This window comes from Homo sapiens, chromosome 2 (assembly GCF_000001405.40).
Source record: "Homo sapiens chromosome 2, GRCh38.p14 Primary Assembly".
Classification (NCBI taxonomy): Eukaryota; Metazoa; Chordata; class Mammalia; order Primates; family Hominidae; genus Homo; species Homo sapiens.
In genome coordinates, this window is record NC_000002.12 from 177,994,016 (window position 1) to 178,017,047 (window position 23,032).

At 36.6% G+C, this 23,032-nt stretch overlaps 1 protein-coding gene and 1 pseudogene across 2 annotated transcripts in view; both read right to left on the minus strand.

Annotated features, from left to right (window-relative positions):
- PDE11A (phosphodiesterase 11A) overlaps positions 1–23,032 on the minus strand; it is a 485,096-nt gene that overhangs the window by 370,772 nt on the left and 91,292 nt on the right. For both annotated transcript variants that reach the window (NM_001077197.2, NM_016953.4), the window contains one exon: positions 20,287–20,445. In NM_001077197.2, coding sequence (NP_001070665.1) covers positions 20,287–20,445 — 159 coding nt within the window. The remainder of the gene's footprint in view (positions 1–20,286; positions 20,446–23,032) is intronic.
- On the minus strand, positions 802–4,862 carry API5P2 (apoptosis inhibitor 5 pseudogene 2; annotated as a pseudogene).

Here is a 23,032-nt window from a genome sequence, read left to right on the forward strand (position 1 = left end):
ACCTCCCCCTCCCCGAGCGATTCTGCTGCTTCAGCTGGCCAAGTAGCTGAGACTACAGGCACCCACCACCACATCTGACTAATTTTTGTATTTTTAGCAGACACAGGGTTTCACTATGTTGGGCGGGCTGGTCTCGAACTCCTGAGCTCAAGTGATCCATCCGCCTCTGCCTCCCAAAGTGGTGAGATTACAGGCAAGAGCCACTGTGCCTGGCCTGCAAATGTAAATTTTGATGTTATCTTAATGATTGATGTTTCCACCAGCTTCTAAGAGAGTAAACATAAAAAGCTGTATACATGGCATGTATGCTACCATCTTCCAGTTAACTGTCTTTCTAAACACAGCACCAGACCCACATGTCTGTGTGTTGGATAAACTCCCTGCCTTTAATGTCCATAATGAGCATGATACAAACATTTTACATCATTGAACCACAAAAAGCACAGAGTATTTTTCCAAGTTTTTTTCCTAGGGATAATTGTGAAGGATCACCTTCCAGGTGAATGGCTGCGACCCTGTACTTCTAGCACAAATAGAACTGTGTTTTATATACTGATCCTAGTGAAGATGTAATTTCAAGAAGGAGAATGACTTATTACGATGTGCATTGCTGAGGGAACAAAAACCCTTACTTGACCCAATGATCTGTGCATAATCTTCCCCTTGGTAACAATTTGAAGACAAGAATGTAAGAAGCAGTTTGGTTTCCCATTTTCTTTTACTTAAGAAATCCATGCTGCTGATCAGAAGTTTGCCATAATTTGTAGTTTTGTTGTTTTAAACTGGATGGGTCTTTTTTTTAATTACAAAAAGAAATTCATTTCAAAAGCATAAGGGGATATTTACATTTAAACAAGGTGATAAACAGGTGTCTTGCAAAAGAAAAAAAAAACCACAGTGTTAAGTTTTTCATTCAAATTCAGAAGCAAAAATAACCGAAGTTGTGCACTATTGTCTTAGGAAAGGGAAAGGGAAGAGTGAGGGGTAAGGGAACAGTCAATTCAGTATCAAACTTGAGAGAGTAAAGTCACTTCTGCTCAGCTGTGAGTTTACAAATATGCTTATAAGGAGGAAAAGTGGAAAAATTATACTTAATGTTCAAATTTATTTAGCTGTAGTCTCAACACAATTTCTGTAGTTGAAATGGCTTTGGGCCACTGGCTGATCTATCTCTGAGGTCCAGAGTGGCGGGTCAATTTTCAAATGGCAATTTTATATTCCTTTGTCTGTTCAGATTCCAAGGGAGTTTAGGTTCAGCTTACAGTCTTTTGGAATGTTTAGAGATTATTGCCACCAATCCATAGCCAAGCTGACCAACTTTTGCTCATTTGTATCATTCTAGCCTTTCAGAACTATTTTCTCCATATGCATGTGCAGTAATTCTAACAAAGGAATTTTGCTTCTTCTGCAGTGAGAGGTAATGGTAATGAAGACACCTGCTTTGGAATCACAAACTATTCCTAAAAAAATACATCAGACTACTAGAAATGTCATTCAGGCGTTTGATTTGAATAGCAAACTTGAGGAGGGAAGATTAACTGTGAAACAAAAATATACTAAACATTCAAATGCAGAACAAAGGCTCTATGCTACTAAAAATGCCCATGACATTAAATACTCCACAAACACCACCCACCCCGCATCTGCTGTTTTAACCTAAAAATTCTATTGGCTAACTTATACAATAATTTTGATTAATAACCTGAGAAGTTAAAAATCTTGAAAATGGCAAAAGCAAACTGAGAGAGCTTCCCTTCCTTATTGGTACCATGTTATCAAGTCACTTTTTCTGGGTAGCCCTGGTTATGAAATCTCCAAATTCTAAATTATACTATCTCTTCCTGTAGAAATCTATACATACATCAGATTCAGTATTTTGGCTGTATTTCACCAATAGCAATCTCCAATTTGTCTTTGAAAATGCAGCCTAGCTGGGCGCGGTGGCTCAAGCCTGTAATCCCAGCACTTTGGGAGGCTAAAGCAGGTGGATTGCCTGAGGTTAGGAGTTCGAGACCAGCCTGGCCAACATGGTGAAATCCCATCTCTACTAAAAATACAAAAATCAGCTGGGTGTGGTGGTGGGTGCCCATAATCCCAGCTACTTGGGAGGCAGAGGCAGGAGAATCACCTGAACCTGGGAGGTGGAGGTTGCAGTGAGCCGAGATCTCGCTACTGCACTCCAGTGTGGGCAACAAGAGTGAAACTCCGTCTCAAATAAAAAAAAAAAAAGAAAAAGAAAAAGAAAACACAGCCTTTATTTTTAGTTTTAAATAACAATAATCATGTAAGTGCAACTGACTTAGAATCCTTGGCTACTGGGAGTAAAAACCTAAATAACAAGTTAATAACAGATTCAGCCCCAAAAGGATAATCACTGTGTCAGACTACCCATTCCTGGAATTTAAAAAAGTGATTTATGTCGTGTAGTCAAGTTTCACAGCATACATATATACATATATATATATATATATGTATATACACACATATACGCTTATGTATGTATGTATATTATATATAGACATTTCTATTCAAATAGTAAGGGTCCGTATTCAAAAGTTTGTATCATAATATATGGAAAAAAGTTAAGCAAGCAGTGCAAAGCAACTTACTTTCTCCTAAAAATGTAATGTCATTCCTACATTTTAAGAAAGCAACGTAAATATTATGCTTTTATGACACTAGACAGGAATGTTGCACCACTGCCTAGCAGCTTTATTAAACAATGAAAACAAAATGTTAAGATTTACAGTTACCCTTCTCCATATATTGGGCAAAACACTAAAACAGAGGAAAGAGGAAAATCAGTAACTTTTCAAAACTGATAGTCTTTATCAGCAGAACTAGACTGAATTTCACTACATTTTAGAATGAACAGCTCTCAACAACAAATTATCAACATATTTAAAAGTAAAAGATTCACAATTTGAAGTCTGAATAATGATATTGCAAAAACAACTCAATATTGCAGACGAAGCATCCAAACATATCACTGTGATTTTACCTTGGATACAACCATGGTCTGTTACAAAAATAGATCATACATACAAAGGTATAAAGAACATTAAGTTTTTAGCTGAAGGCAGCAGTCTGTTTAAAGGGACACCCCCGGAAATCCAATGAGTAGTAGAATTTAAGTATATTAAGCTCATGACTATGCTGAAGAATGCTGATGTCTTATTCAGTAGAGTCTTCCACGACTACGATTTCTTCGTGTGCCCCAACCTCGGCCCCCTCTACTTTCCCTGAAGGCTCCTCTCATAATTAAAGTTGCCCAAATTGCTGCTATATTTCTCACTGGGAGGATTATAAATCTGCCTGGCATCTCTTTTTTGTTCTGCTGAAGATTTCTGGGGTGGTGAACCTGAAGTTGTATATTCACTGGCTCTCTTTTGCCCAATCTCAACCTTTTATACAGGTTTCCAGGATAGTGTTACTGTGCTCTTACAAGAAGGAGGAATGTGGAAGAGATCCTTGATTAAAACATTGATATTGTTTGTTGCTTTCAATGCAACAACTTTAATTTTGTTCTCTTCTGTTTTCTGTTCTTTTCTGTTCTCACCTGTTTCACCTGGAGAGCTAAGTGAAGTTGTCTGATATAAACTTGCAGGCCTCGTGCAAAGTATTGCAGCCTGATTTTGAAATCTTTGAGTTTTTCTGCATTCAGTTTGGCTGTTAAGAAATCTGGAAGTTTTTGGCCCAACTGGTGAAAACTGTACAACAAACATTCCACATAACTGAACTGTAGTTTGGGTTCTTCATCACCAGCATTCCCTCCATTTTCTGCTTCTTCTGGAGGGAGGGGCATGTATTCCAATAACTTATCAAATAGTTTCCCTAAATTTGTTTCTAGTTTTTCCATGTCACCACAAAATGAACTCATCTCCACCAACAATTTCAATACCTCCAACTGTATGTCAAGACCTTCCACTGCGGTAGTCAAGATACCAAGGTTAGGGAGAACCTGCTCACAGAAATATGTCACAGACCTTGTGGAATGGACAGTTTTAGAGAAGAAGGGTACTGCCTGCTGAGTGCACTGTAAGAGCCTGCCCACACACTCAGGATCTGAGGGATTGAAGGTCTGTTCTAGGTCGGCCTGTTCAGCCACCAACTTTACAAGTTGCTGTCTTCCACTTACTGTCTGTAAGCTTTTTAACCCAGACAGTAATTCATGAATAGAACAAATTCTTCATGAGTCACATCTTCTAGGACGTGTTTGGATTCAGTTAGTATAAGCTCTTCCACTTCCTTTGTTAATACTTCATCTGGTAAAGTCTTAAGTTTTGTAGAAAGGAATTTAATTGCTCATTCTCTAACAATGTCCTCTCCTTGAAGTATTTGGCTGAACAATGAACCTAAAGTCCCTTTTCCATCCATGTTAAATATACTCAACAGGGCATTGTTCACTAGGTTAAATTCTGCAGAGCCATCTGACTCCAAAAGTTGCATTAGTATATCTGCCACTCGAGGAAGATTTTCTCCAGTGGTAAATTGAGGCAGTTCTTTAATTGCTTGACGTCAAATAGATACATCTTCATCTTCACAGAGGTCTAACTGTGCATTGATAGCAGAATCAGCCAATTCTGTAAAATGCTTAAAGAATTTCAGAATAAATTGAGCTGCTAATCGTTTTTCCTTAGTACCACCTTTCACACCATCCAGTATCACTTGATAGGCATCTTTATGCTGGCCCACTCGCTCCGTGGTATCGGCCATGATGCCATAGTTGCCGTAAAGCTCCTCTACCATCGGCATGGTGAGCGACAAGCCCAGGGCCTGCTCCCACTATCTTCATCCTTGCCGGCACCACTGCCACCTCAGCACTTCTCCAAGCCCACTACCTGCACTATTACACCCAACTGGATGGCTCTTTAAAGTGTAAAACAATGGAAACATCCATGGCAACAAGCCACATCATCCGGATCAAATCTTAAAACAATGGGCACTCTAGATCTAGTGCAAAATGTATTTTCAGTCTCATAGAGACAATAATTTCTGCCACCCTGTTTCAGAGGTTAAAAGAATAAGAATAGCAAAACGCCCATCATGTCCTGTGACTGTCCTAATCATGATAGGAATCATGTCCAAGTGTTAAGCCGAGACTTAAAAATAAATTTAGAGTCAACCACTGAAAAGAAGCAATGGACATTTATAGGTTCATCCAAGGATCGTGGTCCTAATCATGATGGGAATCATGTCAAAGTGTTAAGCCAAGACTTAAAAATAAATTTAGAGTCAACCACTGAAAAGAAGCAATGGACATTTATAGGTTCATCCAAGGATCGTGGTTCTCTGTCTTCATGACAAGGGAGAATAACTGAAGACTTATTCTGATGCCTCACTCTGGGTTTGGAAATAAAAGTGGAATACCTATAACAAATTTCAGTTACACTACATCACAAGTATCACTGTGATATTAGGACAAACAAAATTGATGTCGATATTAAAGCTTCGAAAAATTAATCAGACACTTTTTTTAAGAGAAAGAAGACAGATATGGATAGGTTTTTTGTAAATGAAGTATACCAAATAACCAAGCACTGAGAATGGAGTTAAAACTGCCCAGACGCTATGATGCTACCCAATGCTATTAAACATTGGGTGGCACCTTTAAAGAAAAGGTACTGATTTCCCACAGCCACTTATTATATGCTATGGAGAGCAATTCTTCCAAAATACCAAGCACACTTTTTGGATGGTTAAAGCCCGTTCCAGCCTTCTGATGGTGTCAATTAATTCTTGTGAGGAATCATTTTAAATTCTCTCCAGTGAGAGAGTTTGCTATTATATTTTAGTTTTATTTAAACCCCCTTTCAAGAACTGTGTCTAATAGACCTTCAAAGCATCTCTGGGTAGCTCTAACTTACATAACCTCATTTTTCAAAACCACTCATTACTTTCTTCCCCTCTTAACATACTCTCACTCCAGCTTGGGCCCTCCCTTGGGGCACCTTGCTGCCTGCTTTGGTAATATAGTCATGCCTACCTTTGAGACTTTTTCTCATTTCTAAATAGAGTATGCAGAATATGAAAGGGGTGGGGGAAATGCTCTTTTGTTGATTGGCAATGGAATCAGAATCTGCCAGTGAAAATAACCTACAATCATATCTAGCCAGGATATTATCCACGGCACATGTGGGAGAAATAAAAGGAAATAATGGAAAATGACCAGAAAATGGTTTCATTTCTGCCTTCAATTCAGAAAAGAAGGGAAAAAATAAATATCCAAGTAGATTTTCTAAATCACTACATACTGTTAAAAATAGAAATTACAAAGTATGTCACAGAGTTATATTATATTTGAAATTCTCCAACAGGAAATATGATGTGGCTTCATTTAAACAGCATATTCCATAAATTTTGCTATACATAGGAAAATGCTCTAAGTAAGCTGCAGGGTAATTTATACTGGAAAACCTCACTTTATCACTCAGTGCAATCAAATGCTATTTGCAAATTCTGATTTGAGGCACAACTTTTTAAAGCAAGAAAAATGCTAAAATTAGACTAATCCTCACCTTCTTTTCATTCTCAGTTGAGGAAAATATAATAAACAACCATAAATTTAAAAATGTTTTGTCAGTAAAAGCACAAAATTGAAGAAAATGAAAATATTAAAGTATCTACCTCATAGCTGTATATGTACAAAGCCGTTATTATTTTTTAATGATTTCTAACTCTCTGTTAGTTTTAAACTTTTTCTTACAGACACAAAGCTCAAGTGTGGTTACAAATATTTATGGAAAGCTGAAATGCCACAAGGCAATGTAATTTAGAAATAATGTTTTCCTCGTGTCAAGTACCCTCTCCTCACACACACACACAAAAGTATTAAACCTCAGTTTATTTAACCATCTATACATGTATATCAGGCCCATCTACCTGTTCATGGGTCCCAAAAGTGAAGATGCAACAGTAGGAAACTAATGAACATCCACCGAGTGTCCCCATGTGGTGTGCCAAGACAGACAGTTGCAGACAATTCCTGGCTTTGCAAGCACAAGTCAAGCGACCCTGGACACATTTTTAAAATTGCTCACATTCAGTGTTCTCATCCATAAGGTGAGAATTATAATAATATCAACAGTGTTGTTGTGAGGATTAAATGAGACAATATATGCAAAGCACCTATCACAGAGTACACTCTTAAATGTTTCCATTATTTTCTCATTTAAGAAGAAAAGAAAACACTGAGAAATACTGCATGCTGTCCTGATGTCTATAATTTGCTTTACATTCCTTAGCAAAGACAATGTGAAAGTGTGTGTGTGTGTGTGTGTGTGTGTGTGTGTGTGTAGTAGGTTTAATATGCCATCAAGGAGCAGACAGTTGCCCTAGTGAGAATTTATACTCCAGGGATATTCAGAAAGCTGCACTCAAAATGTGGCTATTACAAGTGCTCCAGAGATCTTTATCTGCCTTCAATAGCATGGGGCTTTGCAATGTTAGAAATGGATTTCACTGGTGAAATCAGTAGCTTGTTAATCGGCACAATGGATTTTAGATATCAACTCTGATTACTGCAATTAGTCCTATTCAAGATACATGCAGTTATAATTTTCTAGGTCTCTAGAACATACAACCTACCTTTGCATTAATAAAGTATGAAAATCTAGTAAGTTCCAAACTTGTTTCCTTAGAGATAAGCCCTGAAGTTGTTTAATCCTGCCACTGGGTCAAAGGATTGGTGGTTGCCCACCAGCAGAAAACCAGATTCTGCCTTTGAAATATTGTTAGGAAAGTTAGGATTAGCTAAAATAAAGAGAGCTTGGGCTTCATGAAGCTTACTGAATAGAGTATATGAACCATTTGACCCAACTTGCCCACAAAACTTTGTTTAAATAAACATCTTTATGTGTGGCAGGATTTGGTCTATCTGCTTTTTATTTTCATTTTTTATAATTTCTACTTTTATTTTAGATTTGAGTATATAGGTGAGGTTTGTTACATGGGTATATTGTGTGATGCTGAGGTTTGGGATATGAATGATCCCATCACCTAGGTACTGAGCATATAACCCAATAGTTAGTTTTTCAACACTTGCCCCTCTCCCTCCCTTCCCCCTCTAGTAGTCCCCATTGTCTATGGGTGTCATTTTTATGTCCATGATCAACCAATGTGTAGCTCCCACTTAAAAGTGAAAACATGCATTATTTGGTTTTCTGTTCCTGCATTAACTTGCTTATGATGATGGCCTCCAGCTGCATCATGTTGCTGCAAAGGATATGATTTCATTCTTTTTTATGGCTGCATAGTATTCCATGGTGTCTATGTATCACATTTTCTTTATCTAATCCACTGTTCATGGGCATCTAGGTTGATTCCATGCTTTGCTATTGTGAATACTGCTGTGATGAACATTCAAGTACATGTGTCTTTTTGGTAGAATGATTTATTTTCTTTTGGATATATACCCAGTAATGGGATTGCTGAGTCAAATGGTAGATCTGTTTTAAGTTCTTTGGGAAATGAGATCTGCTTTTATTAAAACCAAATAGCAAGATTATAGGAAAGTAGCCAGCTTCCACCAAATTCAAACTCTTTTGAAGCTATTATAAGGTACCTAGGAGGTATTATGAATAACCTAGAAGTCGTGTGGTCGAATTGGCTTAGGTCAGTTTGCATCATGCTAGTGTTTATTTTCTAGTTAAAAAATTATGCCAGTTACAAAAAATTATATCAAAAATTAGACCAATGGTTGATTAATTCCTTGTGGAAGGCATGCATACACTGAATAAACCAAAGGGTGGAAATAAAGTGAAATTAGAAATCAAGGGAATGCAATTTTAAAAATGATTGAAGCTGATAAAAGTTTAGTGAGTTCATATACTGCTACTGGCATTATGAATTAATATAATTTTCTGGAGAGAAAAATGAGTGAAATTTATCAAGAGCCCTTAAAACAAACGTTCCACCAATAAGCACATGAAAGGATGATCGACATCATTAGCCATCAGGGTAAGACAAATGAAAACCACAATGAAATACCACTTCACACTCACTAGAATAGCTATAATTAAAAAGATAGTAAGAAGTACTGACATGGGTGTGGAGAATTCGGAACCCTCATACATTGCAAGATGCAATTCAAAATAGTGCAGCTGTTTTGCAAAACAGTCTGGTAGTTCCTCAAAAGGTTAAACACTAGAGTTATTTTATGACCCAACAATTCAATTCCTAGGTATATATCCAAGAGAAGTGAAAAAACTATGTTCACACAAAAACTTGTAAATAAATGTTCATAGAAGCATTATTCATAATAGTCAAGAAGTGGAAACAGCAACAAATATCCATCAACTGATGGATGAACAAATAAAATGAGGTATATCCACATGGTGGCACATTACTGGGCCATAAAAAGAAATGATGTACTGATACATGCTACAACATGGATGAGTCTTGAAAACGTTATGCTAAGGGAAAGAAGTCAGTCACCAAGGATTACATATTATATGGCTCTATTTATATGAATTGTCCAAAACTGGCAAACCCACAGAGATAGAAGGTAGACTGGTAGACTAGAAGGTACCACTCCTAGACTGGTATTAGGAGTAGGAGAGCTGGGGGAAATGGGGAGTGACTGCTAATGGGTATAGGGTTTCTTCTGGGGTGATGGAAATGTTCTAAAATTGAGTGTGGTGATGGTTTACACAACTCTGCAAATATACTAAAAACCACTGAATTAAATGGAGCATTGTATGGTATGTGAATTATATCCCAATAACACTGTTTAAAAATTAATGTTTAAATCCCTGGACTCAGTAATCCTAAGCATTAGTTTGAACCATATAAAACTGCAGATATCGGATCATTTTTGACCTATAGAACAGCAATTTAATAGTTCAACCTAACAGCTATTCTAAGACACAGTCCAAGACTTATTTGTAAAGATGTCAATATTTGTAATTTTGTAAGAATGTGATTTTTGAAACAACCTAAATGTTAAGAAATAAAATGATTAAATAAACTATTGTATAAGTACATGGTGGAAAATAATGCAAACATGTAAATTACATCTTTGAAGAATTATTTAAAGCATGATAAAATACTGTGTGTACTACTTTATGCAAACTTTTAAAACATATATTTATTTGTAGGTAAAAATAAATAAATATAGGTAAATAAACCAAGAATTTAACAGTATTATCTCTGAAAGTTAGGATTACGGGTGATACTAATTTTTCCTTTTTTTGTATTTTCCAAATTTTCTATAACAAGCTCATATTACTTTTAAAATTAGGAAATAATCTTATCACCAAAGAAAAGGAAAAAAAATCCAAGAAAGGCAGAGATACCCAATTCAAAGATAGACAAATATACTTGGATTCTATTAAATTTTACTTTTCATCAGAAAGGAATTTAATTTTTAAAAATTCAAATTCAAGTATTTCAGCATTCTAAGATGAAAAGAAGCAACCTTGCTCTTTTATTCAAATAATGCTAAACTAGTTATTCAAAGAAGACCGTTATCCATCTTAATTTGAAATCCCCAGTAAATAACAATTCACCACATCCCATTCTAGTTCTTTAATAACAATTTTGCCTGCCAACAAATTTATTTCTAATCTACAGTTGCAAATTGTTCTCTCCTGTCCAAGTCCTGAATAAATCAGAGAAGAGTTTATAAGACAGTTCTTTGTCATTTTGCACTTTTAGAAGTGGCTTAACTAAAATACTGTTTCAAGTCCTGCCAGCATCAAGAGCTATGGATGTATCAGTCCCTTAAATCAGAACGCAGCAAGCTCTCCTTACCCCCCAAACTTTTCCTCCTAGATGTGCCAGAGTCCTGTCTCTTCAGCACTATGATGCATATCTACAGCCTGGCTATGTCAGGTTATTATCATCCAGTCTCTTAACTTCCCCAGTTCAGGGGATGGCAAACTGAAATTGTGATTACAACTTAATACTCATAAGAAGATACAACAAAAAGTTACTTAAGGTGAACATAATAATAAGACAATACTTTCTTGAACTTCAAGTTTTAGTGCCTAAGGCAGCCTAGAGGGGTTTCCACATACTCTGCAGGATCTAGGTAAGGTAGTTTGCAGTTACCAGGAACATGAAAAATAAATGAACTCAGTAACTGAGTTGAGTCCCCTTTACTCCAGGTGTTCACAGTTTACATGAACACCTGGAGTAAAGGGGAAAAAAAGAAAGATTCTGTTGAAGAGTCAGTCACAATTTATCATAGTTATTTTGAGCGACAGCTCTGGATCAAATCTTGCTTCCTAGTGAAATACCCTACTTTACTGCTAGCCCTTTTGATATTACCTAGACTAATTAAGCACATTCGTATAAATAAAAGCTACAGAAAAAAATTGAATAATCTAAATTATGAAAATTACATATCCTGGCCAGACAAGGTGGCTCATGCCTGTAATCCCAGCACTCTGGGAGGCTGAGGGGAGAACTGCTTGAGCCCAAGAATTCAGGACCAGCGTGGGCACCATAGTGAGCCCCATCTCTTAAAAAATTATGTATCTAATCACTACTTGGAATTACATTATATACTTATATATTTACTTTGTTTGTTGTCTGTTTTTTATCACTAGAATGTAAACTCTGAGAGGGCAAGAATTTTTGTCTGCCTAATTCATCAGTTTAACTTCAGCATTTGGAACCGTGTCTCAAACATAATACTGTCTACTAAGTAGAAACGCAATAAATAGTGAATGAATGAATAGTTCTTCCACACAAATGGAACACTATATAGCTATTAAAAATAGTATGCAGATCAATGATCATGCAAAGTCCTCCAGATTCAGCACTGTAACAGTAACAGCCCTATAACTTACTAAGTTCATTTATTTTTCATGTTCCTGATAACTGCAAACTACCTTATGTAGATCCTGCAGAGTATGTGGAAAGAAATAGAAAGAAGGATGTTGCAACTAAGCATTTATCATTTCCTTGGTAACTCTTAGAAACATAAAAAGAGGAGCTAGGGAAGCAGGAAATTACAAATGCCAGTATATTAGCCATCAAGAAGACACTGGAATTTCTGCTGAAAGGGGCCTGTAAATCTACATGCATACCAAGCATTATCTGCATTTGGAATTTAAAAATACACTATATAGGTATCATCCTTCATTTTGTTCAATTATTGTGTTACTGATTTCCTTAAATTCCTTAATATTTGATCATTATATATTTTCTCAATAAATGTTACTCAAAATTCAACTGCAATCTTTTGGGGACTTCTGGAAAAAAATGTTAAACTATAAAATGTTAGGAAACACTGTTAAAGACAAAGAATAATCACTTTTGAAATAGTGCCTACTTAGGTCTGAGATGACAGAATTTGGCTTAAGCCTTGAAAGAAAGGTGGAAATGAGAATTCCATGCAATTAGATAAGAATATAAGGAAAAGTATGGGAGTGGGAAGCCCAAGACAAAATCAGGGGCAGGGTAGACCAGTTTTTGTTGAATGTTAACCCCTAAGCTGGACCCTGGCAGGCAAATTTGCCTTTTTACCCTAAAGTCAAGAAGAGGAAAAGACCACAGCCATGACACCATGGCAATATTGCTCCAATAGAAAAAAAATCCCTGAAGTTTAACCTGAGTTCTGGCAGGTGCTGTGTTGGTAATAGTTTTCCCATAAATCTTGGTTGTTGTTGTTTTTTTAAGTTTATTTATAGCCCTGAAAGAACAAAATTATTGAACAAAGTCATAAAATACAGCAGTTAATGTCAATGTATAACAACTAAATAATTGAATGGGATTAAATTAAAAATAAACGGCATTATAAAATTTGAAGACTACAGAAAAGACTAACTACTTTCACTTAATTCCATTTCTGTCAAAACAAGGGGGGGGGGGGAAGCCAATGCATTCCAACCAAAGATGTTGAATTCCAAACATACCTGTTTCTCTTAATAAAGAATGAAAGTATGCTTGACAGTATTATACATTTCTTTCTGCCTCTGTCTTGGCAGCATTTTAGAAGAGTGAATGAGAAAGACTTCAGTTCTTTCAAGGCCAGGCCAATACTTGCTTCTTCCTTGTAACTCCAACTTCATCTACCACAGCATCTTTGCCAGAGTGTTCAATAAATTTTATTTCCATTATTTTATTCCCACTACATCTATGTTAAGATTCAATTATAAGAAGAGAAGTGAATGTTTTTTATTGATAAGGCAAGAAGGTTTTCAGAAAAATGAGCAAAATAATTAATGAAACATATTTGGAGAACTTAATGGTCTCTGTTTTCAATATAATTCTTAATTTCATTTTTCTCTGAACTATATTGGCCTTCTAAAGCTATTACTGAATTACAGAAACTGGTTTATTTTTGGTAGAAAGCTGCAGTGCCACTTGAGTTCCAGATTTTAAATTTTTTTGTAAACAGTTGGATGGATTATGATAAAGAAGAATCTTGGTTGTTTTTGAACCACTCAGTCAGATATAGTCAAGTGAACACATAAAACACAAACAAATTGGTGAACAAATTATAGTTTCACAGTGATCATATGAAGCCTGGGTAACAGCTTTTAAAAGGCAAATAGTGCTGTGAGTAGATCATTTAAATATAGATAAAATATTGGAATTAATGAGTTATGGGATTCAATCCAAATTATTCCAGGACTGAAGTCTTAATGATCAAATATAACGAAATCATGAGCCATCTGCCAGGACTTTTAAAACCTTTTTGCTAATGACCGACTTTTAATTATTATTTTCATTTATTTATTTATTTATTTATTTTTTGAGACAGAGTCTCGCCCTGTCACCCCGGCTGGAGTGCAATGGCAAGATCTTGGCTCACTGCAACCTCTGCCTCCCGGGTTCAAGCAATTCTCCTGCCTCAGCCTCCCAAGTAGCTGGGATTACAGACATGTGCCACCACAACTGGCTAAATTTTTTTTGTATCTTTAGAGAGACAGGGTTTCACCATGTTGGCCAGGCTGGTCTCGAACTCCTGACCTTGTGATCTGCCTGCCTCGGCCTCCTAAAGTGCTCAAATTACAGGCATGAGCCATCTCACCTGGCCTTAATTATGGTTTTATTTCAACAGATTCAAAAATCTAACTTAGTTGAAATGTAGGCAGAAAAGGAAAAAAAATGAAATGAGAACACAAAGGGAATTTTTAAATAATTAGTTATTCTTTTTTTAGCATTTGTGTATCTTTTATAAAGACAATGGTGAATTAATATAGAACATAAAAAGTTGCCTGGCAGAGTTGTTGTAATACCACTATTCATGTACATAACAATATTTTTTAAAAATATTCAAAAAGTACCTTTGAAAAGTACCTTCTGTGGAAACTATTCATAAGATGACAGAAGAAATCTCTTTGCTCCCACGAAATTGACTTTATTAAGCTGATTAGTTGTTTGAGGGTTGGCTATTATAGTAGTACTACAGCTTGCAGCCATGTCTAAAGGTAATCTAATTTTTTAAAAAAATCAGTTCTATGCCAGTCAAATCCCATGCAAGTCATACATGTGTGAGCTGCATTCAGTCTTCTGGGGCCATCAATTTGTTGCCCCTTCTCAGCATGATGCAGTCAATATTCCCCTCCTCACTACAGTAAACTTAAATACCTTGTGCACCCCTGACATCTCAATAATCTTAAACATTCTCCTCACACTATTAGAAATGTGAGGCTAGGAGTTTATAAAATTTTCCCTATTATCTGGCTGTGAGTCTCAGGCCTGTTGCTGATAACAAAACTCCAGCTTCCGCAGAGACTCATTAGCATCATTCAGGCACCATCCTCAACACCAGTTGGCAGAGCAGCATCATCAGTAACAAGCTCCTGGAACACAGCCAGCCCCTCAGCAACCAAGCTCAAGTTGGCTGCATCCCAGCTTTATGGGGTGGCGGAACATGTCGGCATGAAGGAGAGCAGCAGGGTAACCAAACACTCTGAATCATGAGCTGAAGAGAGGTGACCAGGGCTAAAGAAACCTACAGAGATTAGCCAAAGAAGAACTTCAAACCACAGCTGCTAATACATTGGCTGTTGGAAAGTACCTGCAATAAACATATCATACTTTATGGAACACTGTAATATGAAATGACACTTTTAGGGCAGATGTATAGGAACCTGGGAAGGCAGATAAGAGCCCTTGCTCTTTTCCATTTCCCAGGTTTATGCTGGCGTGCCCACACATCTTAATAGATCACAAATGTTTGCTCCTATCGAGGTCTCATTATTTTCTTCTTCAAAATAATACCTTCCATCAATCACCCAGGAATAACAAAGTAATGACTTAATTGAATGCAAAGAGTCTACTCATACCACCTAAATCAGCTAGTTTATACATATTGCTGAAAAATAGGAATATTTGTTTGAAACCCACAAAGTGAACCAGAAAATTCCGATCATCTCTCCTGCATGGTCTGCCTTTGTGTGTACTTTCAAAGTGAATTATCAAACTAGTAATTTGTCAGTATGGAACTTAAATTATTAATATGTGAATATAGTAGGCTATATTTCATACAAACTCTCACCACTGCTGATAAAATTATTGCTAATTATCCAAGAACTTTAAAGAGCATGAGGATTTTAAAGTCATTAAAAGGGAAGCTTTCAGGCAGAGGCTGGATGACTATCTGTCAGGTAAAATTTCCTGCATTGGATGAAGGAAAAGGTGGCAGGGAATGGACTTGGTGATTTTTCCAGTCTCTTCTACTACAGGGTATATGTATTACATGATGTAGCACAGCCACTGAATTATAGGTGTAGAATTTTCAAGAAACACAATATAGTGGTCCTATGCACAATTATGTTAGGTACATAAATAGCCCAGAAATCAGTATACCACATTTAATTTTTAATTTATCTCAGTCAAATGATTTACTGATTTCCATATTACAAAATGTTTTGAAATTATACAGAACATAACTTATAGTCTCTAGATGTTGACATTTTAAGATATCAGGACATACAAATCATATTATGCTAATGTGCAACAAATTCACCACTACTCATGTGAATGATGACATGGCAGTTATGTGTATAAAATAAAATTACGAACAGGGTTCAAATTACTTTAGTCTGGCTTTGAAATATATGGTGAACTTTCATAAGGCTCATTTATTGATAATAAGTGCTACCCTAAGCACTTTACATCTATTATCTATTTTACTCCACACAACAACCATGTGATGGAGGTTCTGAGGCTAGAAAGATGCAGCCACTTGCTGAAGGTCACTCAGTTAATAAGCAGCAGAGCAAAGACTTGAACCTGCTTTGGAGACTTTCTAACTCCAGAGCCTCTCACCTAACACTCACGACATGGCTTCCTTTTTGCTTCCTTGTTTTCTTACTTGTAGGCAACATTGAAATTACTTTGGTTGCTGCAGTTTATGCTATTGAACGTGGGACAAGGTTTTCTGAAGTCTGCTTGGCTGACCAAGGAAAACTAATTTGAGTTTTAAAATGTGAAGTGAATGAAGTTGGCAGAGCTCTGAGAAATTAGGTACACATACTGCTACCATTGTAAATGGGATCAATATTTCCAAAAGCTATCTATAACATGGAATGAGAGCTATAAAACTTTTCTTGCCCTTTGACTCAGTAATTTCAGTCTTTGGAATATAACCTCAAGGAAATAACACCAAAGAAAAAGGTAATTTGTTCAAGATGTTCATTCAAGGGCTATTTGTATTAGTGAAACACAGGGGAAAAATCCAAATTCTCACTAATAGGACAGTGACTAAGCAATCGAGGCTCTGTAGAAAAAGAAAAGAAGAAAATTTTATGATCTCCCAAAATGACAAATGTAGAATATATTCGTATGTGGACGCATATGTAAGAAATAACTGGGTTAAAACGTAGAATGCAAATTAGTACATATAAGGATAACCTTGTACACCCAAGTAAAAGAGTATGTGTATTAATAAGGCAAGAGATTCATGAACTTATAAAGAAATATATTCCCCTTTTAACTGGAGAAATCCCAATAAGGGAGGATCATCTGGCATATACATTGTATTTAATAAAAATTTATCTTTAAATGAGGACAAACACAGGCTATTTATTCATCCCATGCTATAACAAGGAAGACAGTCACCATCTCTTGCATTTGGAACACTCAAAGGGGAGTGCACAAGTTTTACGGTGAAAAAAATAGAAGACTTTAGGTATGTTCTAAGTGGAGGTTGTTGGCATGGGGAAGCTGAAGGCAGGGTAACTAGAAGCACGGCATTTTAGGTAATGAGTTCAGGGAATATATTTGGCTTTTCTCTCAGTGGCTCTGAGTTGTAAGTATGCAGGGGTGGAGGGCATGATGAGAGCAAAAAAATAGGGAAGGTGGCGGTCATTGACCAAATCCTGGCTGTGCTAAGCTGATTGCTACAGAGACTGTGATTTGGCCTTCTAAGCTGCCTGCTGAAGAGAATGTGGGTCTGTCATTATATGTGGACTGGTCATTGTCCATTTGTATACCCAATCTCTCATATAGAAGACCAGTTTATAATTTTATAAAAGGTTGTAACTCAGAAACAGCCAGATGGAAGAGATACATAGGGCGAGGTATAGGGGAAGAGGTGCAGAGCTTCTGATCCTTCTCTGGGTGTGCCACCCTCCCAGCTACCACCTTTCAGCAACCTGGGAGGTCCACTTGATATGAATGTATAGACTTAAATTAGACAAAGGTAATTTTTAAACTGAGGCCTGACTGACATACACATGATACCTCACATGTATTCACGTGCTGTCAGGAAAAGCTAATCAATCGCTCATGAGAACTTACTAAGTCCTAAGTTCTCTTCCAAGTTCTTTCCCCGGATTCTCTCATTTAATCTCCCTACAGCCCTGTGAGTAAGTGTTACTATCACCCCTCTTCTAAGAGGAGAATATTGTGGCCCAGAGAAGCTAAGTAACTTGCCCAAGGTTACTGAGGCCATGGCAGAGATGTAATTTCAACCCAGATAGACTCACCATATGGCCAGTACAGCCATTATACTTTGCTGTCTTCTCTTATTTGGAAGAAATACTTTCCCGTGAATCACTTCTAGATTTTGTCTTCTGCTTTTCTCCTTCACCTTTTCTGTTTGGTTTGCAATATATAGGATCCTTTCAGGAAATAACAATACCCATACGCAGAAGTTGTTGAGATAAAATACTCTCCAGCTGGTGCCACCTGCATGAACACAATCTACCTGCACTAACTGGTAGGACTTCTTACAAGAAGCAAAACTAGAGTAGGGTTTTCAAGTCAGGTGTGGGAGTTGTAGAGGCTGGAAGATAAAATGCCACTGTGGCACATGGGATAACTACAGAAGAGAAAAATATATCATTTCAAGCTAGAAAATATTCAGATAAGGCTGAATCTAAGAAAAAGTTGCTTGGGGATAAGTGACAAATTAAGAATATTTTAAAACTCATAGGGAAAATATTAATTATTTAAAAAAATTGTATTTTACACTTGCCTAGTTTCTTGTATTTTGCAAAGTATTTCTCATTGATGATCTTATTTAACTCTCCTGCTATAGAGTGGTGAATAGTATAGTTGACAGATGAGAAAACTTCAGGTCAGAGGTAAGTGTGAGCTGTGCATCCAAGCAGCTGCCTGTCATTAGCTGAGCTGGGACTCAGTCCCAGGCTCTCATTCTTAATAGAACTAAACATTGATGCTATTCAAGAAAGGTACAGAGTCCTGTGCAAATCTTCCCTTTAAATTATTCACAGCTCATGAAGCTCTATCTCACAGGTACAAGTCCATTAAGAAAAGTCCAGAAAACAAATCTAACATAAATGGAATCAAAGATAAGAACTAAATATATAATGAGTTCCTTTTAAATGAAGGCAGCAGAGCAAAGGCAGGACTACCATCTGTGTACAAACTGAACTGTTAGGGGTATGGTATGGGTATGTAGTGGTTATATTTGGAAAGACGCAAAACCCACATCCTTCTACCTAAATCTGTATAAGAGGCACATCATCTCAGGACTCTGCCATCTATGATACAAAATGCACAAAATGAAATTTCTGCTTTATCTTACATTCCATGGAAATATCTTTATTGGAATAAAGTGGCCTACATTTATATTCACTTCTAAACAACGTCCTCTCCTTCTCATCTGTTTCTGTCTGATGGAGGCCTATTTTTGCTTCAGAGGACAGATCAAATACCGCCTCTTCCAGGAAGCCTTTTCAGATCCAAGTGAGAACAAGCCTGTCTTTCCTAGGCGCCCCCAGCCTGTCTGAGAACAACTTGCTGATGATTCTTGTCTCCTGCCTTGTGTAGCTCCTGGATGACATAACATGATTGGGATTTATCTTTGTGCCTCTTAGGATCCCAATACAAGTGCCTCATACCCCATAGCATTTTACTTCATTGTAAGAAATCTTTTGAGGTCCTATCATGCTCTATGAATTCAAAAACCTTTAAGGAGAGTTGGGCCGTCTCAATTCCACTATAAAAATGACCTCAATCAAGGACTGTCTTCACTTAAAAACCTTCTTGTTTCCTTACAATCATATTTCATGTTGACCTTCTGTGCCAGAACATTTGCATTAATTTAATGCATTTGTAATTAGCATTGGCAAATGACAAACCCACATCCAGAAGGTTAAATTATAAAGTGTTTTTTAATTAAATAGAAATATGAGAGTCATCAAACTTAAACAAACTAATTTGAGATTTGCTTTTAGCGCATATTTTATAAATATTCAACCAGATTTTATTCAATATAAAGGTAGAAGCTTCAAAGCCAGAACTTCAGTTCTTTGAGGACTCTCTCTCTTTTAATATAAACTGGTAAATAAACTACTAGTGAAAGAACTTAAAATTTCAGAGCAAAAAGTACATTACTTCCACCAAGGTCAATTACTCTTCAGGGACAAAAGTAATGTTCTTTTTATTAGCAATTTGAAATAACAATTAAATAACATTCGTTTTTATTGAGATTTTTATATAAGAACTGAGAAAACAATTCTTTGTTGTAGTTATAAAAATATAGGAGAAAGTGCTGAGTTTCTGAAACACAGCAATCTTCCTATATTTTCTATCTTCCCTTAGGCCATGTGTGGTGGAGTTGTGATCCTTATCTTACTTATAAGGAAGACAAAGACCAGGGAACAACAAGAATACTACCGAGGCTTATAATGAAAAGCAAGCTACAAAAAAAGATGAAGTAATTATTTTCAATTTTACCACATTCTATGAAATATCGAAAAACTCCCATTTCATTTTGTATACCATGAGAAAAAGCTCTTTGATCCATGAATGGGCTAATCCAACAGCTATTCACATAATTCCTGTCTTTTAAAGGAGAATAGCAATCAATGACCAAGAAGAAAAGTACAACTCACAAAAGGCATGAAATCTTACTTTTTCATCATCTTCAGTAAATGGAGCTCCTTCAGGAATCTTATTTATCGCTTGGGCCACACCAATAATCTCACCATCACTGCTTCGGATAGGCATGCACAATAATGATTTTGTCTTGTATCCAGTTAGCTTGTCGATTTCATCATTGAATCGTCGATCCTAAAAATAAGACAAAGAAAGCATTAACTGCATGTGCATTGTTGTCAGGGAGAAGGAGAGAGAGGTTTATTTCTGCATATGATACCTTATCACTGGGAACTAGCCCCATGAATTTTTAATCACAATAACAGATTTGACTTCATTTTTAATTCACCAAAGGAATATAAATCCAAATAAGTCAATGCCATAGTTGTTTGCCATAGTAAATGAAGAGAGAGACTTTAAGCCCAACCGCAACACATCAAAATTGGGGAAACGTGTTTTTAAGGAAAGCGATTTATGTGATTTATGAAAACATGTTATTTCAAAAAGACAGGATATGAAATGTCATATAAGAAACTTACATGAGAAATATATACTAAACACTGAAAAATTGTTCAATATAGAGCTACTTTATTTCTGGCCAAAATGATCCTGTGAAAAAAAAATCTATGAGTACATAATGATATTTCAAAATCCTCCCAAAAAGATGTGGGGTATGGGGAGATAAAAGACTTCTCTATAGAATGCCAGCTAAAATATATAAAATAAATGATAAAATTATACAATATATTTTGCAACTACCTATATAATTATGTTTACAAGCAAGGGTCATTAAGTATGCTAATACCATTGGGTGAAAATTGTTTAACTTAAACAGTATAGTCACACAGTCTCAAAGTGCCACACCCAAAGATTCCTTATTACAAAGGTAAAAGGTGTCTTTGTAGTGAATAAATCTGGTGAACGCTACCTCAAACAAGTAAACTTAGCATCACTCTTTAGAAGAAAAATTAACACCATGTGCCTCCTGATATAATGCAATGGAAAGGACACAACATCACCAAGAATACAGTGTTCTTGTCAAATGTGTAACGTGAATCTAATTATTCAAGAAATGAAAATTAAGAAATGTAGAAATCATCAGTCATTCTATCAGAAACCTAACGCTGGATGCTTAAAAAATGTCAAGATCATGAAAGACAAAAAAAAAGTTTTTTTAAATAAATATAAAGTTAAACCATGGGAGCTATACCAATTTAAAGAAGACTGAAGAGACCTGAAATCCAAATAAAATATGTGATCCTTTACTAGAAATTCCGAAAATTCCACAAAGGATATTTCTGGAGGGACAATTGGAGAAAGTTAAGTCAGATAATTATATCATTATAAACTTTCTTAAGTATGATACTGGTGTTGTAATTATGCTGCAGAATGTCCTTATTCTTAGGATATACATGCTAGGGTATTTGGGGAGTGAAATATCATACCTTCAACTCACTTTCAAGGAAGGAACGAATGGATGGAAGGAGGGAGGGAGAGAAGGGAAGGAGAGAGGAAAAGGAGGGTGGAAGGAAAAAAAGAAAAAGATTGGCTCCTGAGTAACTGTGACTAAAAATGCTCCAAGGTAGATGATAAACTGGATCCAGTCTGATGATAAACTATTTCAAGTCAGGGGTTGGAGTGAGGCTTCTTCCTGTACCTTCTGCACACCCCTGTTAAAGGAGGCTTAAAAGACAAAAACAAAGCACTGGTGCCTATGCTATGCTATTCTCGCTCTGTCACCCAGGCTGGAATGCAGTCATTTGATCTCGGTTCACTGCAACCTCCACCTCCCGGGTTCAAGCGATTCTCCTGCCTCATCCTCCCAAGTAGCTGGGACTACAGATGCAAGCCATCATGCCTGGCTAATTTTTTTTTTTTTTTTTTTTTTTTGCATTTTAGTAGAGATGGGGTTTCACCATATTGGCCAAGGTGGTCTCGAACTCCTGACCGCAGGTGATCCACTCGCCTTGGCCTCCCAAAGTGTTGGAATTACAGGCGTGACCCACAGTGCCCGGCCAGGAGTCTTTAAATGCCATTATGAGGCCTGGCTCTGGTCTGGTGATCCATGGAGGCCACACTAAACCCCAGAGAGAGGAGAGTCCAATTAAAGAGAGGGAAATCAAAACCCAAACAAAACCAAATCTCCTGCTCAAAATAAGTATGTGACCAAACTTTCAGAAAATCAGCAATCTGTATTAATTATTTTTAAATTTCTCTGAGGAACTACTACATGTCAGGCTATGGGCTAGGTGGAAGTTGCAATCAAGTAGGTGAGGCAGACAATGTATAGATGTATATTTATATATTGTGGTAAGTGTTACTGAGAAAAAAGCAAAATGCGTGAGAGAGACTGAATATGAAGGACTTATTTTTATAGGGATCAAGGAAGTTCTCTCTCAAAACAGAACAAATAAGCCGAGACTTCAATCATGAGTAAGAATTTTCTAGGCAAAGAGTGGTGGAAAGAACTTTCCAGGAAGATGAACCAATACATATAAGGTCCTGAAGCAGGAAAAAGCTTAATAAGTTCCAAAAAGTCAAAGGTCAATGTGGCTAGAGTAGAGGGAGACAAAGGGAGAGTGAAAGAGGGAGGCAGTGACCAAATGGTGCCAAGTCTCACAGGCCTAGAAAGAGTTATATTTAATCCCAAATGCAATGGAAAACCTTTGAAGATCTTGAAGCAGAAGAATAGCATTGGCCACTATTTAGCACTTAGATTCTCTGCAATTATCTTACCAGTTTACTTGTTCTCCTCCCAACTAAAATATAAAATCTAAGACAG